At 38.4% G+C, this 27,899-nt stretch overlaps 1 protein-coding gene and 1 long non-coding RNA gene across 2 annotated transcripts in view, besides 5 other annotated features; both read right to left on the bottom strand.

Annotated features, from left to right (window-relative positions):
* LOC124901982 (uncharacterized) overlaps window positions 1–3,263 on the bottom strand; it is a 29,564-nt gene extending 26,301 nt beyond the window's left edge. The window contains exon 1 of the long non-coding RNA XR_007061015.1: window positions 1,430–3,263. This is a non-coding gene — a long non-coding RNA (uncharacterized LOC124901982). The remainder of the gene's footprint in view (window positions 1–1,429) is intronic.
* Window positions 1,080–1,284: a transcriptional cis regulatory region, noted in NCBI's record as "candidate enhancer chr8.2347 targeted for multiplex CRISPR interference". NCBI's record gives its function as "positively regulates INTS8 gene expression with high confidence in K562 cells {active_cell/tissue: K562}" and the evidence as "EXISTENCE:mutant phenotype evidence [ECO:0000015][PMID:30612741]".
* A 1,477-nt stretch (window positions 3,264–4,740) lies between the features above and the next one.
* Window positions 4,741–27,641, bottom strand: PLEKHF2 (pleckstrin homology and FYVE domain containing 2). The gene is made up of 2 exons (NM_024613.4): window positions 27,396–27,641; window positions 4,741–7,395 (listed from the first exon to the last, which is right to left on the bottom strand). The coding sequence occupies exon 2, from the start codon at window positions 7,379–7,381 to the stop codon at window positions 6,632–6,634; it is 750 nt and encodes a 249-aa protein (NP_078889.1). The 5' UTR covers window positions 7,382–7,395; window positions 27,396–27,641; the 3' UTR covers window positions 4,741–6,631.
* Window positions 17,815–17,884: a silencer, noted in NCBI's record as "silent region_19383". NCBI's record gives its function as "represses an Ori minimal core promoter by ATAC-STARR-seq in GM12878 lymphoblastoid cells {active_cell/tissue: GM12878}" and the evidence as "EXISTENCE:reporter gene assay evidence [ECO:0000049][PMID:35858748]".
* Window positions 23,418–23,567: an enhancer, noted in NCBI's record as "active region_27648". NCBI's record gives its function as "activates an Ori minimal core promoter by ATAC-STARR-seq in GM12878 lymphoblastoid cells {active_cell/tissue: GM12878}" and the evidence as "EXISTENCE:reporter gene assay evidence [ECO:0000049][PMID:35858748]".
* Window positions 27,080–27,239: a silencer, noted in NCBI's record as "silent region_19382". NCBI's record gives its function as "represses an Ori minimal core promoter by ATAC-STARR-seq in GM12878 lymphoblastoid cells {active_cell/tissue: GM12878}" and the evidence as "EXISTENCE:reporter gene assay evidence [ECO:0000049][PMID:35858748]".
* Window positions 27,260–27,899: a silencer, noted in NCBI's record as "silent region_19381". NCBI's record gives its function as "represses an Ori minimal core promoter by ATAC-STARR-seq in GM12878 lymphoblastoid cells {active_cell/tissue: GM12878}" and the evidence as "EXISTENCE:reporter gene assay evidence [ECO:0000049][PMID:35858748]".

Here is a 27,899-nt window from a genome sequence, read left to right as displayed (position 1 = left end):
TGGCTCACGCCTGTAATCCCAGCACTTTGGGAGGCCGAGGCAGGCAGATCACTTGAGTTCAAGACCAGCCTGGCCAAGATAGTGAAACCCCATCTCTACTAAAAATACAAAAATTAGCCAGGCGTGGTGGTGGGCACCTGTAATCCCAGCTACTTGGAGGCTGAGGCAGGAGAATCGCTTGAACCCAGGAGGCAGAGGTTGCAGTGAGCCGAGATCGCACCACTGCACTCTAGCCTGGGCAACAGAGCAAGACTCCATCTCAAAAAAAAAAATATATATATATATATATATATAATTATTATATATTATATATAATTATATTATACAATTATAATATATAATAATAATTATATATATATTTTTTTTTTCTCCTTTCTTCTTCTCTTGGTTCTCCAATCCTTTCTTCAGGCAAAACAGCTTGAGAGCTCTGGTTTTATCTGTCTTATTTGTTTATGCTGCCAGGTGAGTTTGTTTTAAAAAGATCGTCTCTCCCTCCCCCACCCCCAGGTGAGTTTGTTTTAAAACCATATTCTCCTGGCCGGGCGCAGTGGCTCACGCCCATAATCCTAGCACTTTGGGAGGCCAAGGTGGGTGGATCACCTGAGGTCAGGTGTTTGAGACCAACCTGACCAACATGGAGAAACCCCATCTCTACTAAAAATACAAAATTAGCCTGGCATGGTGGTGCATGCCTGTAATCCCAGCTATTCGGGAGGCTGAGGCAGGAGAATCACTTGCACCTGGGAGGTGGAGGCTGTGGTAAGCTGAGATTGTGCCACTGCACTCCAGCCTGGGCAACAAGAGTGAAACTCCGTCTCAAAAAAAAAAAAAAAAATATATATATATATACACACACACACACACACACACACACACACACACATATATTCTTTCTTCCTTCCAGGTGAGTTTGTTTTAAAAAGACATTTTTTCTCCTTCCTTCTTTTTTCTCTTTCTGTTATGTGTATAATATGGCCATAACCCTTCCCTCCTCCTTCTGAACAACTCAGCCCTAAAGCCATTAGGTGGGCCAGAGAAAGGCAGGCACCTATGCAGAGAAGCAGCCTGGTGTGAGGGGTCAAAGCCACAGCTGGCTGAGGAGAGCAGCAATGGTGACAGTAGAGGGTGGTGGGGGCACTGGGATGGTACAGCCAGTGTAGAGTAAGAGCCCAAAGAGAGTCAGGTGTCCACATGGGGGAGCAGCCTGACATGCTGGTTCGAGCCTCAGCAGAGGGAATGGGGAGGGCACCCTCCTACGTGGGGAGCTTGGTGCCTAGTTCTGGATCCCACACAGAGGACTGTGAGGACAACCACACAGAGGAAAGGCTCAGGGCCTGGTGTCAAGGCTCATGCAGGGTGAGGAGGGCACTCAGAGGTGCGGGTGACCCAGTGAGGGGAATCAGAGATCAAGCAAGTAAAATGTACTCACATGTGGGTAGCCCAGAGTGGTGGGTCAGAGCTAGGTAGGGTAGAGCATTCCCACGCCACAGAGGAGGTCCAGTGTTGAGTGCTGGAGCCCAAGTGAGGTGTGGAGAGCATCCATCTGTGAGGGCAGCCTAGAATGCAGTACGAGAGAGAAGGATGTCCATGGCAGTGCGGGCAAGCCAGCAGAGGGTGTTGGAGCTCAAACAGGGTAAAGGGGGCATCTATGATAGGAGCAGCCAGGTGTGAAGTGTCAGAGCCTTAGGAGTGCAAAGAGGATGTCCATGTGGGAGAGGGGCAGCAGTGGTGATGAGAGATTGGTTACATACAGGGAGATTGATCAAATAATTTAAATATCTTAGAGCTAGTGAGACCCAGTTCCTCAATGTCAAGAGAAGGATGGAGCCCTACAGTATTGTTAGAATTGGAGGCATCTGTATGATGTCATGGATTTCAATAGATACAGAAGTTTAAATAGGAACATGTAGGTATGTATATACTAATGTTCTCTAAATGTGTCCCCTGAAAAGGCCTGGGAGTGGCACTTTCCCCAAGGCAATGAGCACATCTGGTGCTCAGATCTTGGCTTCTAAGTACCACTTAGCACTAAAAGAAACCAGGGATCCTTGAAGAAATGGCCAATTCCAGGGTTGGGGCAGGGAAAGTACAAGATGAGCCTGGAACATCTTACTGTGGCAAAAAAGTAAAGAAGGGTTCAACTAATGAAGATTTGTCAATAGGCCACAGAAGCCAGTTGGCCACTGACCAAATTAGAGACAGTTTGAGCATCAAAATAATGACAATAACAAGTAATAAAATGTGGTCCCTGGGCCAGCAGCACTAACAGTACCACCTGGAAACTTGTTAGAAATGCACATTCTCAGGTCTCACTCCATACCTACAGAATCAGGAACTCTAGAGATGGGACCTGGCAGTCTTTGTTTTAACAAGCCCTCCAAAAGATTCTGACGCACACTCAAGTTTGAGAACCACTGAATCAGGAAACTATGAGTTCATATTGAAAAGTAAATGAACTGCAAGTTTGATGAGGAGCATAGTATTTACATAATCTCAAAAGTACCACCTCAAAAGTACTATAAAGAGAGTAACTCCACAATGAATTCTGGGATACACCACCTTAATCAAGTGATCAAAGTGAACATAAGCCACGAAACAAACTGAAATTGGGCACCATCTGATGTGATAATACAACTTCTGTGATATTTCGGCTACACAGATGCCTAACCTGAATTTAATAATGAGAAGACATCAAACCCTAATGAAGGGTTATTCTACAAAATCGCTGGTGCATGATCTTTAAAAAATATCAAGGTCATGACAATAAGGGAAAGAATGAATTGCTATTCTAAATCATTCTGATAGTAGACATATTAGAAGTGTTCAATAATGCCAGGTACTGTGTGGTTCGTGCCTGTAGTCCAACCTACTCAGCAGACTGAAGCAGGAGGATTGCTTGATGCCAGGATTTTGAAGCTGCAGTATGCTATGATCACACCTATGAACAGCCATTGCACACCAGCCTGGGTGTCAGAACAAGACTTCATCTCAGAAAAAAAAAAAGTACTCAATACATATTTATTGAGTGAAATGGTTTAAGTAGCTCTGGAATTTTGGTTTCAAATCATTAGAATATTTCTGTAAGAAGGCAGGATCTATATCAAAAATCTAAACTTATTATTTTACCCTATCACTTTTGTAATGTTTAAGTCAAAATAGTTTATCTTGAGTCATTCTTTTGATATGTACTTACTTTGTGAGACAGGGTCTTGCTGTTGCCCAGGCTGGAGTGCAGTGACATGAACACAGCTCACAGCAGCCTCAACCTCCTGGACTCAAGCTATCATCCCACCTCAGTCTTCATGTAGCTATGTAGCTGGGACCACAGGTGCATGCCACCATGACCAGCTAATTTTTTATTTTTTGTAGTGTCGGGGGTCTTGCCATGTTAGGCTGGTCTTGAACTCCTGAACTCAAGTGATCCTTCCACCTTGGCCTCCCAAGTGCTGGGATTACAGGTGTGAGCCACTGCACCTGGCCTATTTTTAAAAAAACTGACAAAAATTTATATATATCTAATATGGTACTGTGTAATATATAATTATACATTATATATCATTATATATATAATATATATATATGGTACTGTGTATTTGTTTTGAAAGATGGATACATTGCAGAATGGCCAAATTGAGCGAATTAACATCACATACTCATCAGTTTCTGTGGTGAGAACACAAAATCTACGCTGATTTCCAAGGATACATTGTTATTAACTATAGTCATCATATTGTACAATAGATTTGTTGAATTTATTTCTCCTGAAATTTTGTATCCTTTGGCCAGCATCTCCCACCCCCAACCCCTCAACCAGCCCCTGGTAATCATCATTCTACTCCTGGTTCTATAAGCTCAACTTTTTTAGATTCCACACCATATAAGCAAGATCATGAAGTATTTGTCTTTCTGTGCCTGGCATATTTCACTTAATGTCCATCAGTTCCATCCATGTTGTCACAAGTAACAGGATTTAATTTTTTATGGCTAATATTCCACTGTGTATACAGACCACCTTTTCTTTATCCATTCATTTGTTGATAGACACTTAGGTTGATTCCATATCTTGGCTACTGTGAATGCTGCTGCAATGAACATGGGAGTACAGATTATCTCTTCAACATACTCATTTTCTTCAGATATTAATATATACTTAGTAGTGGGATTGCTAGATGCTATAGGTAGTTCTATTTTCACTTTTTGAGGAACCTCTACTGTTTTCCATAATGGCTGTGCTACTTTACATTCCCAACAGTGTGCAAGGGTCTCCTTTTCTGCATATCCTTGCCAACACTTCTTTCATCTTTTTGATAAGTCATTCAACAGGTATCAGGTATTACCATTATCTCATTGTGGTTTTAATTTGCATTTCCCTGATGATTAGTGATCTTGGACATTTCTTCATATACCTGTCAGCCATGTGTATGTTTCCTTCTGAGACATGTCAATTCAGGTCAAGTCATTCCTTCTAACAGTAATTGGACAGCAAAGCCAAATTATATTAAGGCACTTCCCAGTAACATTAAGCCATATCTTCAACACTTGGAAGAATGTTTTCTGAGCCTTCGTGCGGTAAATCCAAAAGGGAGTTTTGTTCACTGCTCTAACCTACTGCCTAGAACAATGCCTGGCACATAGCAGGCACTCACAGTTGTTGAATTATTAGGCAAAATATGCATAATATCTTTATTATCTTAGCAGAGGGGGTAAATCCTCAAGTCACAATATACAGAGAACAGAAAGTAAGTTGTAAAATATTTTTTATTGTAAAAACAAAGTCAATAAAGGTTGACAATGTAAATGTTATCTCACAACATTTCCCCTTGGTTCCTGAATTTGCTAGATTCCTATGTACCAGCAAATCTCCATTAGCATTTCTCAGGTTTCATGATCCTTTTCAGATATGTTGGTTGATTTTATGTATATATTGCTTAGAAACAAAAATCCACCTGATATTAAAACAAACCAAAAAAAATCATAAAAGCAAGCAAATGAACAAAAAACCCTAGTTTTGTTGTGCTTTTCTTTCACATTTCCTACAGGGAGATTTGTATATCTCAGATACTTTCAAAATCTAATAGGTAAGTAAAATTAGTGCCTTAACCAAACAGTAAGATACCAAAGAATCCTCCATCACAAGTTACTGAATCAAACTTCTCATGACATTTGCGGTATATTCAGATTTGAAGATTTTTTAAATTTAGAATTTAAAACAAACTTTAGACTGCTGATTTTCCATATTTCAAAGACTGTAGTTGTTTGCAGCATATAAATGGAAAGAGTAGTGCAAAACGCATCAAGTTTTATATGATAAATATATACTTTCAACCTAATGGCTGCCTCAAAAGTAAAGAGTGAACAATTACTTCTCAAAATAAATCTAGATTGACTTAAAGTTCACAATTTAGAAATAGCAATTGCTACTCTATTTCCATAGATTGCAAAATGATTTCAAATACAGATTATACATACAATTGTTTTACAAAAATAGAAATATTGTTTGGGATTTTACAAAACTTTATAAAATATAACACTATATTTGCAAATTCAAGATAGTTTCACACTGAAATAGACAATACTTCCACGATATGAAGTCTAGCCAAACTTAAAGTGGTCTGCCTTGAGGCCATTCTTACATATTATTTCTTCCAAATCTTCAAGCCTAGGTAAATCTGTGCTCTAACACAGGCTTTGTAAAAAAGAGACTGTTTATTTTCAAGGGTTTTATAAGATTTTCAATCCAGAAATAATGTTAAAGCATAAGAATTTATACCTAAAAAATATGTCTTACTAAAGGTAGAAGCTAATGCAGTATGACAATTCTGTATAACTGATAAATTTCAAACCAAATTCCTAAGAATGACAACTTTTATTAATTTAAAATATATATTTGACAATTATAATTTGGGACCTATATAAAACAAAAATATAATCACAACTATTTTATGGAAAAATATTTATTCATATAGAGTGAAAATACCTCCAAACTTAGTTATTTGTAGCTGTCAGATGAGAAGTATTTCCTAATTACACCCATTCATAAACACTCATTTTATCACTTCAAAGAGCACCAGTGTATTTTTTCAACAAACCAGAAAGTAAGAAGGTAGGGGCTTATTTCATGTAACAGTGCTATTATGATAAGGCACCACTAGGTATATGAAAAAGCCAAAGTATTTCCAAATCATGTGTTTTTGTTACTGGTGTCTTAACCATTAGACAGGATGGTTAGAAAAAAGCTGCTAACATTATTAATGAACCACATTATAGCCCCTTTCCCACCATTCTGTGCTTTTAGTTTTACTTATAACAGAAATGAAAACAACAACGTAGTACATGACCTGTTAAAACAAACATCTTTTCCCAACCTTCCAAGAAAATAACCTAAAAATAAACAAGAAACAAAAAATTTATCTGATATATTTGCAAAAGCCTATCCCTGTAGAAGAGTGTGAGGAGTGGGAGAAGGCAGGGGGACCTACTTTCTATGGAATATATTGAGGCACATAGGTTACAAGTTTCTCAGGCAAATTCATGGCTAGAACAAAACAGAGAGAGAGCTCAGAATCTTACATTTCCCCCAAAGTTGATTTCTCAGATAGCCACACCTGATTAAATACTCCCAAATGTGTCCTTAGTCACTGCTATCATCATCGTCATCATCATCAGACATATCATTTAAAGGAGACTTCAATGACTGGCTGTAAGAGTCTGATCTAGCAGGCTGGCATGTGGCCATGTCCCCAGCAGAAAGCAGGTCATAGCAGAAGTCACAAATCCGCACAGGCTTAGAGGACTGGCTGGGAAGAAGAAATCTCTTTTCAGAGCAGGGCCCACAGACAACAAAACCACATTTGCGGCAATGGTGGCGACGATTAACAGGTGTGAATTTTGCTTTCTGACAACGCATACATACAGTTGCCTCAGAGTCAGGAACCCAGACAGCAGCATGTTCATTACTGGGTGTCTTCCCACTTTTGGAGAGTAAATCAGTAACACATTTATTTATATGATTCATCCATTCTGATTTCTCCGTAGCAGTGGCAGCATAAACTGCAAAAGATTTAGTTGGTGTCTTGATTAGCCATCCATTCCTTAAGTCTCCCTCATCTTTGATGGAATCAATAGTGACATTTTCCAGGGGAATAATATGTTGTTTGTTATATTTTTTCTTCTGGATGACAATATTGCCATATACAAGAATATCATTAAACAAGAAAAACTGCCTTGCTTTGGGCTTTTTCCTGCACAACTTAGTCAATACTCCTTCTCCAATAAGAACTCGTCCAGGTATAGTTAAAGGTTGACCAGCTGCTCCAAAACAGTTTTCCACTATACTTATACGTCTAGTATTTGCTTCACTGTTTGCCAAGCGATCCACCATCTTTCACTAATAGCCTTTTAAAAAAAAGAAAAAGAAATTAGCACATATAAATTATAAATTCCTATAAGTTAATTATATATAAATTAAGCTAACAAATCATTGCTTTTACACAAAGGCAAAATGTTCTAAAATTCTTTCCCTCTAAGATAATCACTAAGCACATCAAAAGGGCTAACATTTCTCAATTTTTAAAATGATGAAAAACACTTATTTATCATCTCCACGTAGCACCATACTAGTTAAGCAGGTATTTGTAAAAGTATAAACTTCCTACAGACATAATTGAATGAAAGACGATTGGATAATTAACATAACTTATCTCTGCAAAATAATAAACCCCATTCAATGAAATGTAATCTCAATGGGATTCTGAACAATAGGGAACAAAATGTTACATAAACTAAGAAAAATGACTACAATTTTCCAAGTAAGCTATTACCACTGAGCTACAGCCTTAATTCTCTCACCTGGATTACTAGAACTGTTTCCCAACATGTGTCCTGGCCTTCAATCTTGCCCCCAAATCAATCTTTGGGCAGTGATCTCTAAAACCCTAATTTGACCCCATCATTGCTCAAAATGATCCCTTAACCTATTAAATACAGGGTGTTCACGGCCTTTCATTACTTGGTTCTTGTCACTCCAACCTCACCATAAGTCAGTCTTCACCTCAAATGTCATATTCTAAGAACACTCTACTACTTGTAGTCCATTTCACTGTTGTTCCTTTTACTACTTACTACTGCAGCTAACTCATATTCATCCTTCGAGACTTAGTTTAGGTAATCGTGTCTCCTCCAGGAAGCCTCCTTTAAACTCCCATGCTAGACTAAAACCCTTCCTGTGAGCTATCCATATTCCATGTATATTCTAGCTTCACTTTTACCAAAGGACTGAAATCTGTTCCTCCAGAGACCATGCAGAACCTAAAAAGCAGAGATCATCTGATAGTTTTGTTTGAAACTGATACGGTTTGACACAGAAAAGGTACTAAAAAATGTTAATAACATTTTAACAATGTGCAAAACACCCTATTAATCTAAACATTTAATCTCTAAGTCCAATATTGACTTCACTCAAGTCCCAGAGTTGTATCCTATTTCAAACCTACTAAACTAATACTACTATACTATAACCAAGTCATATTAAAGAACAACAAGCCTTGAGAAGAAGACCATTTAAAGTTTAAAGACTAACAGCATAGTATGTAAGTTCCAGTATTCAGCTCAAAAACTGACACTATAGCCCTTCTTGGCCTTCATTATAAAGGACACTAGAATTCTGGTTATTTCTGAATTCTGTCTCCCTGCAAATCTTGGGTCCTTATAAAGCCCTCTTGTCCTCCACAAAAGTAGGATGTAGCAGGCCTAAAAGTTGTTCCCAAGAATTAATAGGATAATGCATGGTTCCAAACTGGAAAGGTTTCTAATTAGGACTAATATGCCAGCCAATTAAAAGCCTACTATCCTATGCACAAGTACATCACAGAAAAGGAAATAAAAACGGCTAATAAACAGGAAAAGAGGTTTCAATCTCTATCATAATTAAAGAAATTATATTAAACATTAGTATATTTTTCACTTAGATTAATAAAAATTTTTAAATTTACTAAGATTCAGTACTCATAAAGGTATAGGGAAATAGGTACCCTTGTACACTACAGAGAATATGTGTATTCACCAATCTAATTAAATAAATTTCACTCACGTGCATAGAGATATATACAAGGATAATCAGCACAGCATTGTTTATAACAGGAAAACAATTGGAAAAGCTCCAAATAGCCATCAAGAGGAACTGATTGAAAAAGTTATGACACACCCTTAATCATATATCTTGAGAATAAGACAGATCTAAAACCAGTGACAAGGGAAATGCTCAAGATCTTTAGGTGGGGAAAAGAGATGAACTTCCTGATCTCATTTTTATTTCAAATAAATACCACATTTCATCACATCTAAGGTGCTATAGATTTTAAGACATATTTATGTGCAACTCATAAAGAGAAAAATGTTGCCAATTAAACCACAGCATACCGTTGATTATAAGACCAATTTCAAATACATATAGTAAAAAATGTTTATCTTTAGACTCAATGGAATACATATTTCAAAAGCATAATCATAGACATCTGTATCTGTAAGCACACACACAACATAAAGTTAAAAAATATATACTATACTATCAACAATGGTAATTTATCTCTGGAAAGTATAATTATGGATCATTTTTTCATACTTTACATTATATTCAAGCATTCCACAAGTATTTGTCAGGCACTTAGGATCTAGGTGCAGGAAAAGTAAAAATAAACACCACAGGCGATCATACTTGAGTATGTGACAACAGATAAAAATTTTAAAAAATAATAAATTAAACAATACAGGCAAGGTCCCTGCTCTTCAGGGTTTACATTCTAGTTGGAGAGAAGGAAAGAGAAAACAAAATTGAAATCTAGTACTAATCAATGCTATGATTTTTTTTTTAAAGTGATTTTTAAAAGAAACTGAGAGCTATTCAGACTACATGGTCAGGAAAGGCCTTTCTACAATGTTGTCATTTCAGCTGTACTAGATGGACAGACATAAGAAGGGGTAAGGATAGGGGAGAATATTCCAGACAAAAGGAGTAACTGCAAAGGCCCTAAAACAGGAAAAGACATTGGCACTTTAAAAAAAAAACTGAAAGGATCTATTTCTCTCCACCTGAATCAACTACTGAGTCCACCCATTTGAACATATCGTTATTAACTCATATACAACACAAACAGATTTCCTATTATTGCTACTATGAGAATTAATACTATCATAAATTTGTACTGTGCTTTTCATATTATTTTCTGATTTGAACTGTTTGAAATGCCTATGAAGTTACTAGAGAAGTTTTTATTGTCCCCCAAAGAAGCATCTAATAATATTAGCTGAACTGTGAGCTGATGAAGAAATTAAGGCACAAAGATATTTAATAATGTAAAAGCAAAACTTAACCTGGAATGAACTCTACTCATAGGGAGTCCAACCAATGTGCTGAGCACTTTGCACTTATTACTGTATTTCCTCCTCACAGCAACCTTATGATACATGCACTATTAGCTCCATTTTATGGATGAGTAAACAGCCAAAGAGGGGTTAAATAACTTGCCCAAGGCTGTCACAGCAGAACAAGCCTCAAATCTGATTTCTCTGTGATGTTACAGTATGTTATGGTACACTAATTGTTCCTAAGAACTCCACTGAATCTACAAGAACTCTAAGGAAGCTATTAACTAACCTCTGGACCTTCATTGCAAACCCTAAAAATACTGAAGATAAGGGAATACTACCTTGAACAAATCACCTGAAAGGATGGATATGTCATGATTTACCCAGCTGGTGTCTTGATAATCTTTCATTGTCCAAATGTTTCAATATATTAAGTCTAAATCTTTGTTCATAAATCTTTCTCCCTGTTTAATAATGATGCAACTTAAGCAAGGTTTGGGGCATTATTAATTAGTATTTGGCTGCAGCAAAGCAAATAGCTTTCAAAGTTTGACAATGACCAACATAAACACATTTTATATTGCAAGGTTACAAACACTCGTATAATTATTTCAACAATGAATGATGCATTCTTTTATCTTCATTTATTTTAATGATTCTGGCAGCCCACTTGATTGATTGGTGGGTTGTGACATATATCTGAAAAACTATGGGCATGCACAAAACCTAAGGCCTTTGGCCTTAAGCAGCCTCTTCCATTATCCTTTTTGGTCCTGAATATTTTCTGTATGTGTCAGACATAAAAAAGATGGTAAGCAATGAACTAAAAAACCCAGGAATACATAAATGCTGCCCTGCACACACACACAAACACATATAAGAGAGAGAAAGAGAGAATGGTGGTAGGGAAACAGGAGGCAGCAAGGAAAGAAAGGAGTGGAGAGAGGTTATCAAAAGGGAAATCAAAGTACCACTTTTATCTGGGTTACAGCTAGATACCCCAAATAATGTTCTTTGGTAAACTGGATTAGGGCACTACCATTTGGTTCAGGGCCTAAGCAAGGCCTCTCCCTTCCCCTTAAGCCCAAATCTAAATTTACCTCCAGCACACTGAGGTGCCCCAAGCAGTAAGAATGCTACACTTTTGTGAGAGGGTTAGAACACAAGATTACAGGGCCTAGCCAAGGACTGAGTCCTTCCCATATCCTACTCATTGAGGGGAGGAAGCAGAAGAGAGCTATAAACATGGCCCAATTTGATTAATGTCTACTTTTCTTGGGAAAGAATACCAGTGTATATAGGAAGAACTAAGAGAAAGCTTTCCCGTCCCCTTGCAGAAATGGCTTCATAGAACAAATTTCAAGAAGTAAATAAAATTACTGGCTCAAAAGGCATGAATAAAGAATCTTGCTACCTTTTACAAAATTTCCATTCTGGAAGTAACACCAATTTACCAAGCAGCACAATGACAGTATCCATTTCATCTTGTCCTACATATGGTATTTTTCTTTAAAAATTTCAGCAAGCATGACCGATTTTTAAAAGCATCTTGCTTTATTCATTTTACTCACTTTTATTTAGTGTTTATTCATTCAACAATTATTCACTGAGCACTCTATAGATGCTGGGTATTACGCTTTTCTTCTCAGAGCTTAGAGGCCAGTGGAAGAGAAAGCCCATAAATAAATAAATAGGTAATTCCAAAAGATGAAGTACAATGAAGGAAATAAGCCGGTTGTCAAGATACAGGGGAAAACTCATTTAGACTGAGTAGTACAAAAAGGCCTCACTGAGGTAGTATTATAAACTGAGTCTTAAGGGATGAGGAGTCAGCCATGCAAAGGAAATACTATAAGCAAAGGTCCTAAGATAGGAAGGAAAAGTACTTTTAATTTAATTTAATGTTTTCTTCCGTAGCTACCTAATGAGGTCAATGATTTTCTAATGTGTTTATTAATCACTTGCATTTTAAAGACTATATATTTAGAGGTTATTAATCTATGAGTGTGTTACACATAAAGACTATTAATCCCTTTTTTTTTGTTTTCCTAGTATATTAATCTATAGTTTTATGGTGTTTGACATGAAGTCAGTTGTACTTCTTAAGCAGTTAAACTTACAGATCTTTTCTTTGCGCTATTTTTCTTCCACCACTCCTAAGCTTCCCTATCCAGATATCAGATGCACCTATTTATTATCTATGCTTTATGATACAAACTCTACATTTAATTATTTTATCCACCTAAAATGTATTCTGGCATATGTGAAAATACTTTTTTGCTTTTCAAATATTTGCATTCTAAAAGAGCTAATTAATTGTTCCAGAAACACCAAGAACTGTGTGACCTCAGATATCCTTACTTGTACATGGGAATAATAGCAGATACATCAAGGAAAAGATGAATGAGATAATGCATATAAAACATTCAGCAAGCAGTCAACGAGTGGTAGCTTGCATTAATGCTGTTAGTAATCTAATCTACTGATTGATGTCACTCTCGTATTAAATTTTTACCTATTCTAAGATCTGCTTCTGGGCTATCTGCTTTAATCCATTAATCTGTTTCATAATTCTTATGTCAGTACCTTGTATCTGGTAGCTGTATTCTAGACCATTACTCAACTTTCTTAAAAACATTTTAACTAATCTTGTTTATTTGTCTAGATAAAATCTACTTAGAATAGTGCTTCTCAACCTTAGCTTCACATTGGAATCACAAGGCAGATTTAGTCTCTGGCATATCAGAAAAAAATGTTCACCTCAATTGACTATCTGGGTCGAAAATACTTTTTGTCTTTAATATTTTAAGTAATTTTATGACGAATTTACAAAAGTGAGAATAAAGGGGTAGTTTTAAAAAAAACTTTAAGAGAAAGCTTTATAAAAACTTATAACAAATTTTTTAATTCCATCTTTCTCTGATATTAAAGGTATATATATCTGAAATAGGAAACATCCTTTGAATGAAACTTTGAATGCATGAACGTGTATTATTTCCATTTTTTGTCCTTAGAAATATTGTTCATTAATTCTTGAGTTTGAAAAAAACTCATCTAGGAAATCATCATTTGAAGACTCACAGTCTAAGGTTTCACTTATACAATTAAATTCACTATCATTATTAAGTGTTGTTTCTTTGCATTTATCTTCTGACTTGTCTAATAGTTCTGAAATGTCTTCCTTTGCCTTTTTTCTTTGCTATTAAAGACAGAAAATAAAAAATGAAAAAATATGAATTCCCAAATATGTTAAATGAAAGCTTAGAAGAAAAATGCTAAAAAGGATGATCTCAAAACTGTTTTCATATTTTTGAGAAATGATACAGTAGTGATGCTATATTTCACCATTGCATCATCCTTCTTGGCAATTCTATCACTCTTCCATTTGCTTCTTTTTGGCATAATTGGGGGAAATTAATGAATAATGATTAAATAATTCGCAGGAAAATGAAATAGCAAAATGCTTCAAGATATAGGAAAAGCAAAATCACTAAGAACCCATAATATATCTTAGATTTATAAATGCCCAATGAAACCATATGGTAACTGCACACTAGAATGAGTTTTATTTTGCTTTTTAAAATAAGTAAATTTTGTTTTTGTTCTTTGGAAGACTCTATGAAATGAGTTATAAAATATGAAATCAACATAATAATAACTACTCAGAAAAGAAACCCAAAACCCAAAATTAAGAACAATGAACTCTGCTGATAAATATCAAGGGTTAAGAAACACCAATACCTAGATTCTTCCCCCAGACAGTCTAATTTTATTGGTCTGGGGTATGCAGGGTAAGACCTGTGCACCGGAGTTATTTTTAAAGCTCCTCAGATAATTGTAACATGTAGCTAAGGTTTAGAACCATTTTTTAATTACAATAAATAAATAAAAGAATAAAATCCCACTGAAATGTTGATGAAACTTACATTATATCCATAAATTACTTTAGAATTAACATCTTCACAGTTTTGAGCATTTAAGGGTGATAGTTATCTCCTCCCAAGGCTTCAAATCTTTTATGGCATAGTAATTTTGTATGTTTCTTCTGTAAGATAGTTACACTTTTTAAATAGGCTCCCAGATTTTGTATACTTTTTGTTGCCACTTTGAATCTAAGCTCTTTTTTACAGTATGTTTTCTAATTAGTTGAAACTGTTAATAGGAAAACTATTGATACTTGTTTCTTTTCACATTCAGGTACTTCATAGAATTCCATTAATTTCAACAGTTTTCCATTTGACTTTTTTTTTTTACGTTGTCTTCTTTTCCAGCAGTGCCTGGCAGTGTTAATTCACAGTTAAAACGTAAAAATTAGAGCAGAAGCATATCTTTTATAAAGCCAGCTTTTATATACCAATTTTTAAAAATAATGAAAGGTTTCAAGTCATCTTCTTCACACTACAGACAAGAACTGCATTTACATTGTCTAAGCTCCATCCTAGTCTTTAGGTAACATCTTGCTTTTAAAGTAACATGTTCTTCAGTGGGGTGTCTACCACCTGTTAAAAATGTAATACTAGAAGATAAAAAATTCTTAAAAAAAAAAAAAAAGACACAGAATCCTACTTACAATTGAGAAGAGAGACCAAATGTCATAGACTACTATGTCTTAGTTCTCCCTGCTGGAAATCAATACTTCTTATCTCATCCTTACAGGTGAGTTTAAAATGAAAACAAATCTAATTTTATTTCTTACATATACCCATGATATCTGTTACCAGTGAGCTTCAGTATTCAACTGTGCATTATAGTGAAAAACCAATGAACTATGAACTAAAGGACCTGGATTCTAATCTTGGTTCAGACACTAAATAAGTGATTTCATACAAATTACTTACCTTTTTTTTTAAAGAAGAAAACATAAATAATTTTTAAAGCCCTTTCAGTCCTTAAAATAGTGAGTCTTTGATAGTAAATGGGCCATATTTTCTGGTTTACTGTAGACTTACTTGTCTACAAGTTAATTTTTAATCAAATTTATGACTCTTAATCTCAATCAAGATTTTAAAATCCGTGTCACTGCTGGATTGAAACTTTACCGAAAATGTAAAAGGAAAGGGAGAAACTAACAAGCAACTGGAGAATGGAGGTAAAAACAAACAGCAATAAACTACCAGAGGTACATCCTCCTGAGCAAATGTATAACAGTAAAGCAAACTATTCCTCTCTTAACACATCTAAGTCAAATGAACAAATATTCTGAGTACCTACCATCTGCAAGGGACAAGACAGTTCTTACTTTCAAAAGTTCTACAGTCTAGTAACCAGAATAATAATCAGGGAATTCTTGGTAAGAGTCTCAATAAATCATTAGGATGATAAAGCAAAAAAGAAATACTTGGCCAGGCGCAGTGGCTCACGCCTGTAATCCCAGCACTTTGGGAGGCCAAGGTGGGCAGATCACAAGGTCAGGAGATCGAGACCATCCTGGCTAACACGGTGAAACCCCGTCTCTACTAAAAACACAAAAAAATTAGCCAGGCGTGGTGGTGGGTGCCTGTAGTCCCAGCTACTCGGGAGGCTGAGGCAGGAGAATGGCTTGAACCCGAGAAGTGGAGCTGGCAGTGAGCTGAGTGAGCCTCGGTGACAGAGCAACACTCCATCTCAAAGAAAAAAAAAAAAAGAAATATTTCAAAATTTAGTAAATTGCGTTTGGAATTTTATAAAACTCTACTTATTCCATCTAAAAGAGAGGTCAAGATTTTTTCTGTCCCTTCCCACCAGCATTTCTGCCACTGTGGCCAACCGATTACACAGTATGTGTTGTAGAAATTATTAGTGATAAAAGGAAGAGGTTCACTTCTTTGGTAAGACAAAACTTTCATATGTTAATTTTAAATGTATTAAAACTGGATTGAGAAACATGGAAACTTCAAAATTCTGATTCACATTTAGAGAGAGGTCAGTTTTTTTTTCCTTTAAATCTCTCATAGGCACCAAATATGCCTATTACTGAAAAGTAGACTTATTCTACAGTCTCAGCCAAGAAAGAAAAAAAGGAAGTTAACATTTACCCAGCACCCACACATGTGCATAATAGCACATTCACATTATACTCTTTCATTTAATAATCTCGATTTTGTTAAGTGATCATTACTTTAATTTTACAAAAAAACTGAGTCATGAACTAACTAAGCAATTATCAAACGGCCTCACAGTTTTTTGTTTTTTTTTCTGGGTTTTTTTTTTTTTTTTTCTTGAGACAGAGTTTTGCTCTTGTCACCTAGGCTGAAGTGCAATGGCAATATCTCGGCTCACTGCAACCTCTGCCTCCCGAGCTCAAGCAATTCCGACTCAGCCTCCTGAGTAGCTGGGATTACAGGTGGCCACCACCACATCCTGCTAATTTTTGTATTTTTAGTAGAGACAAGGTTTCATCATGTTGGCCAGGCTGGTCTTGAACTCCTGACCTCAGGTGATCCACCCGCCTCGGCTTCCCAAATTGCTGGGATTACAGGCGTGAGCCACCGTGCCCACCCATTTTTTTTAAATGCATATTCTTTCCATTATACCTTCACCTTCAGAAATAAATATGACAGAAATATTTTTTGCATATGGACCTATATTATGTATTTGGAATGGCCACTGACAAAATAAGAGGAAAAAAATTACATATCTATGGTAATAACCATAAGATATACTCAAAATGATTCTTCAAATACTAAAAGGAAGTAAAAGGCAAAGCTATGACTAATTTAGGGTACTAGTAAAGGCAGTTTCAAATAGGTTAGATTTGATAGAGAAATAGTACATAAAAACAACTAAGTCATAGTTGAATATTTTAGAAAATGAGTTTGGAAAATCAGAACAGTCACACTGGAGGTTTAAAAACATCTTTAGAGAGGTAGGAGAGAGGGAACAAATATAGACTTCAAGTTCTAAACAAGCCCTCTAAATTTTTATTATTTAAATCAGGGGTGTCCCATCTTTTGGCTTCCCTGGGTCACATTGGAAGAACTGTCTCAGGCCACACATAAAATACACTAACATTAATGATAGCTAATGAGCTAAAGAAAAAAAGAAAAAGAAAAAAAAAATCACACACACAAAAAATCTCATAATGTTTTAAAAAAAGTTTACAAATTTGTATTGGGCCACATTCCAAGCTGTCCTGGGCTACATGCACCCCGTGGGCTGCAGACTGGACAAGTTTGATTCAAATCATCCTACACAAGGCAAGATTAATATTCTTTAACTATAGCTATAATCAGGTAAGTCTACTCAGAAACCAGATTCCTTGGCCAACAGAATCAAATCTAAAATCCTTAACTTGGTATTCAAAGCCCTTCACAGTCAAGTCCTAACCTGCTGCAATCTATCTTTCCAGTTTTACCTCTTTCTCTACATTCTCTGTTATAGTCAAACCAGACTACTAGCTATTACCAGAATATGCTCTGGGCTTCTTTCCCTACCTCTAAGCTCGGCATGTCCTCCCTCCTTTGTTCTTCTCTATTTACTGAAATCTCACCAATTCTTCAAGACACACTCAGTTCGATAGCCTCACAGCCAAATATTGTGGCTGGGTATATCCTGTGGCCAGGTGAATCCTCACACCATTTTATTTGCACCACTTTATAGCACTTATAGTCTATTTGTTTCATAAAAATGTGTGTACTTGCTCATTCCCAACAGATGTGGAGGTTCCTTAAAAAAAGATTATTTCCAGGCCGGGCGCGGTGTCCCACGCCTGTAATCCCAGCACTTTGGGAGGCCGAGGCGGGCGGATCACAAGGTCAGGAGATCGAAACCATCCTGGCTAACATGGTGAAAGCCTGTCTCTACTGAAAATACAAAAAATTAGCCGGGCACGGTAGCGGGCGCCTGGAGTCCCAGCTACTTGGGAGGCTGAGGCAGGAGAATGGCGCGAACCCAGGAGGCGGAGCTTGCAGTGAGCCGAGATAGTGCCACTGCACTCCAGCCTGGGCGACAGAGCGAGACTCCATCTCAAAAAAAAGAAAAAAAAAAAAAAAGATTATTTCCTCCAACTTTGTATTTGCAACAGCACCTAAAAAAAAATGCTTGCATAAATGGCATCAATGTGCCAATGTGCACTGAACTGAATACAATCAGCAGTTAGAAGTGGCAGCAGCTCCCAATCTTGAGTTTGATGAAAATCAAAGACTTCATTTTTAACATCTATATTAATTTTCACAGAAAACAGGAACCACACCCTACCCATCAACTGCTTCACTGGACCCACAGATTTTAAATTTACAAGCAAATGTTGTGGCCCATTTAAGTACAGTATGTAATTAAAAATTCTAAGTATTGAGCAAGGCAGATCCTGTTTTTTAAAAAATTTCAATCTCATGGTAATATATATAAATGATTTCTTTCTCCAAAAAGCACAGCTGTTTAGTTAGTAAATAAAAAATGATGATTACGTGCATATTTTCATCATCACAAAACTCAGATTCAAAAACTCACATCATTTCTAAAAGTATTTGTACAGGGGCAGCTGTACAGTGCTGACAGCTGTAAAGAAAGCATTGGATAATATCTAAAAAATAGCTTGGGCATAATGGCACAAGCCTGTAATCCAGCACTTTGGGAGGCCGTGGCAGGCAGATCCCTTGAGACCAGGAGTTCAAGACCAGCCTGGACAACATGGTGAAACCCCATTTCTACCAAAATTACATAAATTAGCCAGGTGTGGCGGTGTGCACTTGTGGTCCCAGCTACTCGGGAGGCTGAGGCGGGAGGACAGCTTGAGCCTGGGGGGCCAACGCTGCAGTGAATCATGACTGCACCACTGCACTGCAGCCTGGACCACAGAGCCAGAACCTGTCTCAAGAAAAAAATTAATTAATTAAATAATATCTGAAAAATAAACCTGGTAAAGCTCAACTAAAACACTACTGAGGAATTAGTTATCCTGTGACATCCCTGACCAATTTTCTTTAGTATCATTCAAAACAGTTACAACCTGCTCACTACATTCAAGGTTTATGTTTGGTGGAAAAAAAGAACAAAGCAGACACTAGGAAATAAGATATACGCCACAAGGTTAATACAAAACACAAGGAGATAAGTACTATACTAAAAACATTAGCAAAGTAGTAAGGAAGCAAAAAAAGCAAAGAGTGAGGGCATGGCACAGAGAATACAGCATTTGAACACTGAAAACAGGTTGTGAAGAATGAGCGGAATTTAAGAAGGCAAAAAAATGGCTAAATAAAGGCACAAAGCTTTGCAAGTAAAAACGCACATAAAAAGTCACACTGGGCAAGGTGCAGTGGCTCAAGCCTGTAACCCCAACATTTTAGAAGGCCGAGGCAACCAGATCACTTGAGGTCAGGAGTTCGATACCAGCCTGGCCAACAGTGAAACCCCGTCTCTACCAAAAAAAAAAAAAAAACAAAACACAAAAATTAGTCAAGTGTGGTGGCATGCACCTGTAGTCCCAGCTACTTGGGAGGCTGAGGCAAGAGAGTTGCTTGAAACCAGAAGGCAGAGGTTGCAGTGAGCCAAGATCGTGCCACTGCACTCCAGCCTGAACCACAGAGCAAGACTCCCTCTCAAAAGAAAAAAAAAAGTTACACTGTACAGCTGCAGCAGAGGCTGTAGGGGAGTTATTTAGTGGGAAAAGGGGGGAAAAATAACACAAAATCTTGTTAATATCTAAGACTTCCTTCTGAAACTTTTGGAAGGAGTGGCCTGATCTGATCTGGATTTTTCTTAGATAACTATAGAAACAACGAAAGATAAATTGAGAAGGAAGAGACTGAAAACAGGATCCAGTTGAAAAGTAACTGCAAAAATAGAGGGGAAAGTTGATGAAGAGTCTGAAGCTTACAATAGGAAAATAAAGGATAGGTCAGATTCAGAATTGCAGACTGGATATAGAAGAGTAAAGCTAAAATTAATCTCCAGGGTTTTAGTCTAAGTGATTAATTCAAAAGCAAATAAAACCATTAATTTTTAATGAATTTCAAGTAGTCAAACATTTATTATCACTTGCTCTGTGCAAAGCAGTATTAAAGGACAGAAGATACTCAAAACTGAAAACCTCTGAGGAAGAGAAAGACAGCTATATTCTCATATTTATATAGACAAGTATATATAATTCAGTTGTGTTTCTATAGGAAAGATTATCATGGGAGTAACTGACAAAGAAGGAAAAAAACAAAACAAGGAAGGGGTTTGGTATCCCTATAATGTGCTATAAACTGAGGTATACAATTAACTTAAATCTGTGCAAAGTCTAAAACAGCAGAGGAAAAACAAGCCAAAAACTTTTTAACTTAAAACAAACCAAAACAAAACAAAAAAAACAGTGGTAAAGGTCCCAGGGCCAAGGAGTTGAGGTGGGATGTAATTTTGACCAGGTAGAACATCTAGGAACAGGTCTTGTAAGGACCAGAAATTCAAGCTGGGCCTTAAAGCAAAAGTAGTAGCTCAAACTATCTGGGGTTTGGGGATGGATGATGGTACACAAGACTATTCCCCCAGAGAGGAAATAATGGAGCCTAGGCCAGAGGAGGCAAGGTCAGGAGAAGGCATAGTGATAAGAAGTCTGGTAAGATAGGGATGAGACAAACTGCAAAAGAAAGCAACCATCAGATAGAAGAGTTTACACTTTATTACACAGGCCATGGGAAGACAAAGGTTTTTAAATAGGAAAATATTAATCAGACACAGAAGCAGTACACGGGATGGACTGAAGAGAATATGAAGAAGCAAGACTGAAGACAAAGAAACCAGTCATATGAGGATTACAACAATCTCTAAATGAAAGGTAAGAAAAGCCTGAACCACAATAATTGGCAGATAACTGAGGCATAGCAGATAGGATTTAGGAAATAACTGAACACATGGATGAAAAAGGACTGTAAGATGACTTCAAAGGCTTAAGGGTAAGCCACTGGGCAGATGCTAGCTTTGTTTTAGGAGAGAGAAGAAATCAGTTTGGGACATGTTTATCTTGAAGTCCTCCAGGGCATCCACAAGACAAACACATCTGCGGGACAGAGATGCCAGGATGGGCAGGGAGCTCCAGGACAGAGAGATTTGGTAGTCACCCACCTAGAGATGCTGGCTGATGCTGGAAGAAAAACGAGAGCAGAGGACTAAACTTTGGGGAACCCCTAGTTTAGAAAGCAGGAGGAAAATTTAAGGGAAAAAAGAACGGGACACAAAGGAGCACAAAGCACCTTTTCAACCTGCTCTCATATGTTTCACAACTCTCAGAGACTAAATAACCTGCCAAAAGGTCACAATCAGCAGTGGGACACATGGGAAAAAAAAAAAAAAATCAAGGACTAATGGCAATGTGTAACAATAAAATATCTGAAATTTTTACCCACAAAAATTTAACCTGGAGAAATAAACTGGAGAAAGGGGGTGGAGGGGGTGTGGCACATAAAAAGTTTTCCCTCTGGCATTAACTCTAATAGTGAAAAATAAAACCTAAATTTCTAGCTGAGGAATAGTTAAATGTATCACAAAAAGCCATCATAAAAGAAAAAATTTACTACCTAAACTTTTAAAACTTCATAATTGGGGGAAGAACATTAAAGTAATATGGCAAAGGGTCAACATTTATTGATTGATTGACAGGACAGGGTCTTGCTTTGTCACCCAGGCTGGAGTGCAGTGGCACAATCTCAACTCACTGCAACCTCTACCTCCCAGTCTCAAGCGATCCTCCCACCTCAGCCTCCTGAGTAGTTGGGACTATAGGCATGCCACCCTGCCCAACTAATTTTTGTGTATTTTGTAGAGACGGGGTTTTGCCATGTTGCCCAGGCTGGTCTCAAACTCCTGGACTCGAGCAATCTGACCTGCCCATCTTGGCCTCACAAAGGGCTGGGATTACAGGTGTGAGCCACCGCACCCGGCCAACATTTGTAATATGCAAAGGGCTCCTGTAAATCCACAAGAAAAGAGGAAAATATCCCAACAGAAAAATAAGAAACAAATGTCAATTTTAAAAAAATGAAAATGACCAGTAAATTTAAAAAATGACACTCAGTCCCAATCAAATAAAAATTAAAATGATATTCATATATTACTCACCTAAGATGTGGTAAAAATGGACCCTTATATTCTTGACAATACTGTATATACACTGGAACAACTTTTCTAAATGCCATTTTGGCAATAGAAATGCTTTAGAAAGTTTATACAACAATTCTATTTCCAATAATACATACAAAAATTAAAAGTGTACAAAGTTGTTCACATGAAGTTCACTGTAGCTTTGTCTATAATATAGAAAAGCTGGAAACAACCTAAATATTTAACAATAGGAGACTAAATAAATTATGGCACATCCATTAATTTTTAGGCAGTTTTTTAGAAAACACAATATTTAATGTGAAATATTGTTAAAGCATTTTATTAAATAAAAGTTTCTAAATAGCACATATAGTATAAGCCTACTTGTTATTTAAAAGTGGCTGATATGCACCAAAAAGTCAGTAGTGGTTATCTCTAAGCACTAGACTAATAATATTTTGATACGCCTAATTATCTTATAATGAACACATTCTCTCATAGACAAAGCCTTTTAGTTTGGGAAGAAAATACAAAGAAGAATGTGTAGAAAAATATAAGTATAAAAAGTAAAATACAGTTATATGTACAAGTAATAAAAATGTGAGCAAAGAACACAAAAATCTTTCTTTTTCCCCAACTGTTGTTTAAATGAAACAAGTACAAAGAATTAAAAATAGTTCCACTTCTGAAAAAGGGGCGGGGGGGGGGGGAAGATGAAGAAGTTGGTGCAAAGAAGAAAATAGAAAATTCACATCATAAAATCTTAATCATTTTAGAAGGAAGTAAGGTCATCTGCTCAACATGTTTCGAGACTGGGGTTAGCAACCTGACTGGAGTGAAAAAGCAACAGAGAAAATAAGTCAACTTGGGGATAAGAAAAGGATTAGAAAGTAACTAGTATAAAGCAGGTAGAAAACAAGTATGTAATGATCACCAAAAGCGTGACTTTGGGGGAGAGTGTAGGGCAGGGACAAAGGTAGAAAACTGACCAGTTACACCCAGCAAAGGTCAAGGAGAGGAGGGACTATGTGGTCTAGTGAGTTCATGGTTAGAACATGAACTACAGAGTTCAAGGTTGAAAAGAGGGAAGACAACTAATGGCCTAGGAGGGACTGGAGGTGACAATAAGGACAAAAAGCTGCTTAACCAGTTATGACAGAAAAGAGAAAGAGAAAACAGACCCTTGCATCGCCATCTGGCCACAGGGTTTAAGACCTGAGGTAGAGTGGTTCTGAATGATGACAAGTAACATGGTCACAACATGCAGGCTGCTGTTGTAGAGTAGCAGTGGGGGTCACCGGAGTTAGTGAAGTGTAGTTCCAAATGTGGCCATTCTGGCCAGAAATGAATGTAACCCTTACTTAACCTCTATGCACTTCACTTTCCTCAGCTGCAAATATTTAATACATCCTTTCTAGCCTGACTGATAGGAATCTGGCTGGCAGCTAACCCCTCTGCATTTTACTCAACTACAAAATGAAAAGCATAAGAAAGGAGATGGGAAATTGAGTTAAATCAAAGGTTCTCCACCTGACTGAACACTAAAATCGGGGATGTTTTAACAAAGAGGCAAAATTACCTTTGTTCTGTCCCCAAACCCAGTAATTCTGATTTATTTGTCCTGGGGTGGGATCCAGGCAATATTCTTTTTAAGTAGCTCTTCAGGAGATTTTAATGTGCAGCCAAGGCTGAAAACTGAACTAGGTATTCCTACAGGCTGCTTCCCTTTAAAAATTTTTAAATTCTATGATTCTATATAATTCACTGCCACTCTGTTCATTTGTTAAAATAATAGCTACTATCGTATTCCAGGCCCTTCCACAAACATCGAATCTTGGGTGACCCTCACGCTAACACTGAGGCAAATATTTCTGTGCCCATTTCACAAATGAGTCCAGTGAAGCTTACAGAAGTGAAGCGGCTTGTTCAAGAGTCACAAGCCAGCAAGGAGCTGAGTCAGGACAAGGTTTATTTGTTCCAGTCCATCCTACATGCAACTTGCTTTCTTTCCAGTGCATTCACAGCAACTATTTGAATGCCTTTTATTCTCTTCTCAGGACCTCCCTAAATTGAGCACATTAGTTTGTGGTTTACAGTTTGACAGGGGAGAAAGTTATCTTGGGTGGGGGCAGGAAATAAACCCCGAATTCTATAGGCATTATAGAATTACAAAACACCTTAACCTAGAGAGGTTTTCCAACTTAAAACAGCACTGTGAAAGTGTATCCATGAAGTATTTTTTATTCAGTTAAGTCAACACATACATTGCTTTTAAATATTAAGCAGGCAGCTCATGTACAAAGCTGGTTCATCAAAGATAAACAACAACAAAAAAATTTTTCATATACTTTCTATTAAGCAGGGCATTCTAAAAATTCTAAGACAATTCCGGCAAAACAATAATTGATAGAGCTATAATGAGATTTGTTCCAAGAGCTTAAATGTATAAATATGACCTTTAAATTTTTCAAGCATTAACAATATTTCCATCAAGTTCAAATACATTCAATCACACTTAAAATTATGATTATAATCCTTTTGATGATCCATGGCTTCTCTCTCATACATCAGTAATTATACTTTAATCCATTATCTACTTAGAAATTTCATAAATATTCAAGTTCTGTACCCCCAGGCGAAAATTCACTCAGGTACTAAGTTAAATTCTCAACAAAACAACAACAAAACATGTGTGTGTGTGTGTGTGTGTGTGTGTGTGTGTGTGTGTGTATATATAATAAAAACCAATCTGTGGATTTAATGGAGTTGATGGCATGTATTGGGAAAAAGACTACAAAGAAGATTTAACTATGATGCTCATGGAATTTACAATTTCAAAAGAAATTCATGAAGCATATTTACAAGGAACAAACATACGTGTACTCATCCATTCAAACCTTTCCTGAGCATCTGCTATGTTCTTGGCATGCAGGGAATGAAGAGGCAAATCAGACCCGATGTGTTGCCTGCTGTCAAGGAGATGTCATGACAGAATCTATGCGATATTTACAGTAATACCATGGGAGAAATTAATTGATTTCTGGAGAGGGCAAGGGAGTGGAATGAGAGAACAGAGCAGAAAAGGCTTCAAAGAGTATAGGCTTAAGTATTTTTAAGGAAAAAATTTCATCACAAGGATCACCTGTAAATCAGCTCGCTGGGAAATAAGTATTTATACTGAAGAACTAAATTCAAGTCAGAGCAGTGATAAGAGCAAACGAGATGGACAGATTGCTCCAGAAGACTGAGTTATGTATCCTACAAAGTTATGCTACAGGAAAAATGAAAAGGCTTCAGAGTCATAAGATCTCAGTTAAATACCAGTTTGGCTGCTACATTTGTGAAATTAGTTAATTTCATTTCTAAATAAAAAATGTTATAATGCCATTTACTTGACAATGAAGCAAAACTAAAAGAATTTTTAAGAACAACAGAAATTGGCAATACAGCCTGAGCAACATGGCAAAACCTTCTCTCCACAAAATTCAAACAAAAATTAGCCAGGTGTGGTGATGCGCTCCTGTAGTCCTAACTACTCAGGAGGCCGAGGTGGATCACCTGGGCCCCGGGAGTTTGAGGCTGCAGTGAGCGGAGATGACACCACTGCACTCCAGCCTGGGCGACAGACAGAGACCCTGTCTAGGAAAAGGAAAAGGAAGGAAGGAAAAAGAGAAAAAAGGAAAAAGAAATTGACAATCAAATATGAGCAGAAGCTGTATTTTTAGATCTAAAAAGTAAAATTCTCCAAGAATTTGGGGTTTTAGGGCTTACTGTATTTGTGTTTAAGAGCCTTTTCAGTTCATTTAACAGAATTTTAAAGCAAGATGTCTTTATTTAAAAATCATTTAGATTCATTTACTGAGGCTGAATATTTTCTTCTGAAGCTTAGTCACTATACTAGTTTTATTTAGAGGCCGATTACGTGTGCTTTCCAAATAAATAGCTTAATACCATTCATTCCCCGTGTGGTCGGGACCCAAAGAGATTATAATGAAGCCTTCGTTAATACTGAATTAACGTGAAGACCCCACGAGCTGCCAGAGTATTTAAAAAAAGTAAATGCTCAAAACGCGGTAGGCATTCACCCTTAAGAAACTAAAGGGAGGGGAAAAAAACTTCAAACTGTCAAGATCACTTCTTATTCTTAAGAGAACACATGCCTTTAAGACTCTCAAAGTTTCTGTCTAAATCTTTCTTTAATGAGTCTCTTCAGCAACGTACTACACAACACGACAAAGAAGGCATTTATCAACAACGCGTTTTGTGAGTCTATGAATTACCGAGGAGGGCTTAGGTGTCTGTAACCTTCATACCCACTTCCACCGCACACTCAAGTTATTGCTGGAATGTACGGAGAGCACACAAGGCTATTCAAGCAACACCGGCAGCGCGCTCTCGGCCTTCAATCACATTTTTAAAAAGAAAAATAAATTCGTCAAAGGATCATAAAACTTGAAAAGGCTCCAAATAAATAAACCATCGCTTCTATCAGAGCAAGTTCTGCGGGGCCATTTTCGTCTCCCAAGTGACATACAAATATGTAGTTCAGGTCATAAGGTCCCCGACACGCAGACCCTGCAAACTTTTCGGCCAGAAATTTGTCGCGACCCTGAGACGCCCCCGGCCGTGTCCAGGACCCCCGTCCTCAGGCCCCACAACTTCTCGCCCGGCCTCGGGGCTCCTTCCCGCGTCCGCCGGCCCCCGCCCCGCAGACCCGTGGACCGGACCCTACCCGGCGGCCCCCGTCCCCCCGCGGCGGCGGCGGCGTCCTACGGGCGGGCGCGGCTCGCTCCCGGGCTGGCGGGACGGCGGCGGCAACTGGCCCGCGGGCCGGCCCCGGCGCGAGGGGAGCGGCCGGGAGCGCCCCGTTTCTCACAGACCCCAACATGGCGTCGGCCGCCACCGCCCGCGACGACGACACCTCCCGGCGCTGCGACGGCTCCGGGACCGCGGGAGGAAGCGCCCGGAAAGTTTCGCGTCTCCCCTCCCGGCCCGTCAGGAGCCGGCGGACCACCCACCCGGGCTTCACCTACCCCGACGGCCGCGGGCGGCGGCGGCGGCGACAGCGAAGGCGAAGGTCCGATCCTCCTGGTCGCGGACGCAGGGCGCGGACTCTGCCCGTTCCCCGCCGGGGCCTTCCAGGGTGTGTGCTGTCCGCAGCCCCGCGCAGCCGGCGCGATCCAGACGCGGTGGGCGGGCTGGCCGCCAGCGCAGCCGCTCGCAGGTGACTCCCCCGCCCCTCCAGTCGAACCCGACAACGGCTGCCTGGGCTGGCCTCTCCCCTGCGCGCGCACGGGCGCGCCCCCGTCCACACTCCGGGCGCGAGCGCGCGGGCACGAGCACACCCACACCCCTCGCTCCCCGCCCTTTCTTGCCAGTTCCCTCGCCCCGCCCCTCGCGCCCCTCGCGACGCGCTCTAGGGGCGGGGCCTTTGGCGGAGGCCACACCCACTCAGGCCGGCCGCGGGCGGAGCTTGTCCATGTGTGAGGTCGGGACGCGCTCCCGCGACGCGTTGAGGTGCACGTGAGGCGCCTTAC

This window comes from Homo sapiens, chromosome 8 (assembly GCF_000001405.40).
Source record: "Homo sapiens chromosome 8, GRCh38.p14 Primary Assembly".
Classification (NCBI taxonomy): domain Eukaryota; kingdom Metazoa; phylum Chordata; class Mammalia; order Primates; family Hominidae; genus Homo; species Homo sapiens.
This window is presented reverse-complemented; position numbering and strand designations above follow the sequence as displayed.